Raw genomic sequence first — 5460 nt, 5'->3', positions numbered from 1 at the left:
CTGGAGTACAGGTCCTCCTGCCATGCAGAGAGACTGGAAGCATTTTGCCCCTGCCCTAGAGATCTGTGGAACTTTGAACTTGAGAGAGATGATTTAGGGTATGGTGGGGAAAAATTTCTAAACTGCATATCATTTAAGAGGAAACACAGCATAAAAGTTTGAAAAGTATGCAGCCTGATGATGCAATAGAAAAGAAAACCCCACCCCTTCCAGTCCTGGAGGATGCAATACAGGTCCAGTGTCAGCCTCCAGCCCTGGTTGCGGAAGGTGACAGTAGTCATGGCCATATTTCAGCAAATGAGAGCCAATGGGGGCAAGTTGGTTAAGGACATCAACAGATACAATCCTGGCCACCCTGGAACACTACATGGAGACGCAGGCCAAGGAGAATGCCTATGATCTAGAAGACAACCTGGCTGTCCTAAAGCTGTACCAGTTCAACCTAGCATTTTTTCAGACCACGGTCACTGCCCAGATCCTGCTGAAGGCCCTCAACACCTGCCGCACACCAACTTCACCCTGTCCACGTGCATGATCCACCAGCACAACAAGAAGAGCAGGCAATCCAACAGATTTTGCACCTCGGGGACTTGCTGGAGACTTGCCACTTCCAGGCCTTCTGGCAAGGAAAACATGGTCCTGTTGGAAGGTATAACCGGCTTTGAAGACTCTGTCTGAAAGTTTATCTGCCATGTCATGGGTATCACTTACCAGCACATGGGATGCTGGCTGCTTGGTAAAATGTTTGGTGATCTGTTAGCCAGCCAGCTAAAGGTGTAGATGAGCAAATATGGCTGGAGCGCTAACGAGTCAGGGCCGATCTTCATCTGTAACCAGGAAGAGAGCATTAAACCCTAGAATACTCTAGAGAAGATTGACTTTGACAGTGTGTCCAGCATCATCGCCTCCTCCCAGTAACTGCAGGTGTTTAATAAAGATGTGTTGATTTAGGCAAAAAAAAAAAAAAAAAAAAAAAAGACAGAAAAGAAAACCCCATTTTCTGGGGAGAAATTCTAGCTTACTGCAGAAATTTGCATATGTAATGACAATAGGGAAAATGTCTCCAGAACATGTCAAAGACCTTCATGGCAGCCCCTCTCATCATGGGCCGAGAGGCCTAAGAGGGAAAATACAGGGATTTTTCCATTTCCCAATTCACAAATTTCATTGATTTCTGCTGGACTGTGCAAATTGAAGAAAGACATCAAGCCTCATTATAGATTATCCCTACATCAAAAAAAAAAAGATTAAATCACAAAAAGTAATTAAAATATCTCTTTAAAAGCCCTGTGATATCCTTAAAGTTGCAGAAACTCAGGCTTCAACTCGAAGAGGAGATGGAAATAAATATACTTGGAGGCTCTTCCTCCACTGTGGGTCAACTTCATGGCAAAGCAGCTGTCTTGGAAAGACACTTTATGTGCACAGTTCTAGCAAGTGGGTATATCAGCCAAGCCAGCTTCCACCTGGCTTGTTAGGGCCTCTTCCTTCCCCTTGATGTGACTGGCTCTGCCTGAGAGGCCAGGCACATTCATACTGTGTACCTGGCTTTCAGCAAGGACAAACAGTAAGATGAATATAGAAATGTGATCTCAATCCTAGTTGCTTCTGCAAACACCCAGAAGTGATTGTAAAGAAGCTCCAGCTTTGGCTGGGCATGGTGGCTCACACTTGTAATTCCAACACATTGGGAGGCCGAGGTGGGCAGACCACCTGAGGTCAGGAGTTCAAGACCAGCCTGGCCAACATGGAGAAACCCCGTCTCTACTTAAAATACAAAAAAAAATTATCCAGGTTGGTGGCAGGCCCTGTAATCCCTGCTACTCAGCAGGCTGAGGTAGGAGAATCGCTTGAACCTGGAAGGTGATGAGTGGCGATGAAAGGACCACTGCACTCGAGCCTGAGTGACAGAGTGAAACTCTGTCTGCAAAAAAAAGAAAAAAAAAGACAAATAATACAATAAATAAAAAGAAAAGAAAAGAAGCTCCAGTTCTATCTTCACAGGCTTTCTGTCTACTTTATAAAGGCATCTATCTATCTACCTATTCATCTATCTATCTACCTATCAATTATCTTTCTATCTGAACCGCATGTATAAGAGCTATTACAGTTACAGTTACAGGTAATTAAATAACTAGTTATCCCTGGCATTACTTTGGTTGTGGCTATATTATAGTTCATTTTATAATATATGGTGAAACCTAAAAAGACTCCAATAACATAAATATAACACATCTTCATCACAATTCTTTTAAAAATCTCATTGAAATAACATTAAAGATATAAACAAACAAATGAAATAACAGTTGTCAAATGAAAAGAAAGAAAACACCATCAATAGATCAATTATTTGGGACACTCCTAAAAAACAGGTATTATAATACAATTCCAGGAAAGCTAGAATTGAGTTACCATAATTCAAGTTGCTGAAAAGGTAACGGCAGCTTTTTTTTTCTTTTTCTGCAGTGGAACTCATGCAAATTTCCATGTTTGGTTATTTAAAAACTACAAAAACAAACAGATATGGATTTTAAGCACTTAAGATAATTATCATTATCAAAAAATGAAGTTAATTATTTCCTAATGAACATATGGCCAGTCTTGTTTGAGTCCCTCCTCTTCCCAATGAATACACAGCAGTTGTCAAAAGTGATGTCACACATAATGAAAGCATAAACAACTCTTTCCCTAAGAAAGTGACCACTCTGCCCAGTAGTGATGTTTCCAAAGGTAGAAACAGAGAAGAGCCTGTAGTGACTTAAACTTGCTCAGTTGGAGACACTGGAGTAAAGATAAAGCAGTTCCAACACAGAATAAAGAGGCAGCCTGCTCTCCTGATCTTAAGAGCTTTAACTTACACAGACTCCAAAAATCTGTTCTTTTATTTAACAGAAGAGGTAGTTGAGTCGAAGACTTTATAGTACTGCAGAGAAAACTCATCTTTCTACCTATGTGCTCCTGAACAAGGGCTGTAAAATGGAGTCAAATGGAGAAATTTTTAAATCACCAATGCCTGGCGATTGTGATTTACCCTGCTGAGGGTGTGTATTGGGCATTGCTACATTTTAATGTCTCAAGTAAGCCTAGTATATAGACACATTTGAAAAATGCTGGCCTACCATTAATGTACTCAGTAGGATCCTTTCAGCAAGGAGTAATAGAAAACTCAAACAATAAGATATATTGTTACAAATAAGATGTTCCTAAGTACAGCAGAGTTTGGTTAATTTAGCATCTCAGCGATGTTTTCAAGGACCCAACTACTGCCTGCTTTTGGCCCCTGCCATCCTCTGTATGGTTATCTCCCTCCTTTATGGTCAAAAAAGAGTAGGAGCTACATTCTTATACACTGACGCCAAAGAGAGAACATGGTTCGTTCATCTGAGTTCACTTATAAAATGATAAAACTATCCCAAAAGCTAGAACTCAGTCACTTGTCTACTTCTGAGCTTACTGCTAAGAAGAGACACAAACTCATTATACTTACCCTGTAACAAATAGTATTTACTCAAGGCGTTTAGGACAAACACAGTCACAAGAACAGATATTCATGTATAGCAACCTGATTTGAAACTCTTACTCACTTTCGTGATTAAAAAAAAAGAAGTTTACAATTTCTTTCCCACATTGTTAACTTTCTTTTGGTAACTCACATTTGAGTTTTTTACAAGCATTATGTATAGCTTTAAAAAAAGGTTATTTTTCCCACATCTACAAGTTTCGTTTGTGAACAAACATAATTGATTCTTGTTAATAATAGAATTTAATTGATGGATTCTGAAGAATATATATATTTATATATAATATAGATATCTTATATATATTTATATATTATATATATCATATATTTTTATATATAATATATATCTATTATATATAATAGATATATCTTATATATAATATATATCTTATATATAATATATATATCTTATCATATATATATATATATATATATATATATATATATTACTTCAGTACTATTTTGCTTTTACCACATAAGAAATGGTGTAGTCATTCAATGTGCTGGGAGCAACTATCATGCTTTGGAGAGAAAACGGCAAAATTATCTGGCACAAAAACTGCTTAGTTAAAAGTGGTTAAGAATGATTCTACTCCACATATATATCTATACATAAATGTGATATCCATCTATCCATCTATCTAAAATTAGGATAATGTGTGTGTATCTGTGTGAGGCAGAGAGATACTGTCTGTGTGTCCAGATTTCACTTGTCTTTAAGTTGCTGTGTAGAGAAAGTTTGGTTTGTTTATTTAAGCTTAGACTGGTAATGTTTTTACTTCTGTTCAAATTTTTCCTCATTGATAGTATTTATCCTTTTAACCAGTTAGAACCACATTTTTTAAATAGTACCAAGGGACTCTTTTGGAAAAAATATTTTTTTCATGAATTCTTGTTTCCTCAGAAAGTAATTCTCAATTGCGGATGTTTAATACTTTCAGAATGTACCATTACTGTTGTCTAGTGGCTGGGTTGCCATTAAAAGAACATGAGTTGCAATAATATAAATGCCCAAAGTACTATTGCAATCTGCTATGTTCTTAAAATTACTGTATCTTATAAAATAACTCAATGTCTATATGTTGTTTCCATAATAGAAGGCCCATTTTTGAAATAATGATTAGAAGGACGTAACCTATGAAAATGTGTTAGCTACTGTTGATAGAATCTCCCCACTCCCAATATTACCACTGCAGAAACATTATCTAAAAGCCTACAAGTTTTACTTGTCCTTTGGGAGCAGAAGCTCTTAAGTGACTTTATTTAAAGAGAAGTATATCAGATAGATGTGGCAGTAATGTAAGACAAGTAGACAGAACTATGTCCTCAGATTAAACAGGGTTTAGAAGGATCAAGCAGGTACTCAGACACATTGATCCAAATAGAACAAGGGGCTTATGTCTTCATTTTTGAAGGGCCTTCGTTTAAAACAACTTGATGTGGTTAAGAGTATGAGTTATTTTTGGTGTTATTAAACTACCTTACTGAGATTAGCAAACGCATGATGAAGATTATTATAACATGAGAGTTTATTAGTTATTGAAGATCCTAGGCATTTTTGTGTTTCATGATTCATATGACACCAATGTCCCTGACATTTCTCAGTTTTTTTTTGCCCCTAGCCTCTCCCTTTCTGTATTTGCCTTTTTCAGCTCCCTGAAAAAAATCATCTTGTTAGGTTCAAGAAAAAGGTTAGGCATAAGGGTGTTTCTAAAAGAGGAAGTAACAATTTCACGTCTATCTTTCTTAATTGATGTCCTAATTCTCATACTCATCTTTTGTGATTCCCTATACAAAAGGAAAATATGGTCATCCTCTTGGAAGTATAAAAATAAATCCTGTGATTAAATCGTTGAAATCACTGCTTTATTTTTTCCTCAAGTTGTATATTTTTTCTTGTTTTATTGGTATAACGTGCATGTGTTTATCAGAAATTAATG

At 36.8% G+C, this 5460-nt stretch overlaps 1 pseudogene; it reads left to right on the top strand.

Annotated features, from left to right (window-relative positions):
- On the top strand, nt 208-951 carry EIF3KP3 (eukaryotic translation initiation factor 3 subunit K pseudogene 3; annotated as a pseudogene).

Source organism: Homo sapiens, chromosome 4 (genome assembly GCF_000001405.40).
Source record: "Homo sapiens chromosome 4, GRCh38.p14 Primary Assembly".
Taxonomy (NCBI): Eukaryota; Metazoa; Chordata; class Mammalia; order Primates; family Hominidae; genus Homo; species Homo sapiens.
This window is presented reverse-complemented; position numbering and strand designations above follow the sequence as displayed.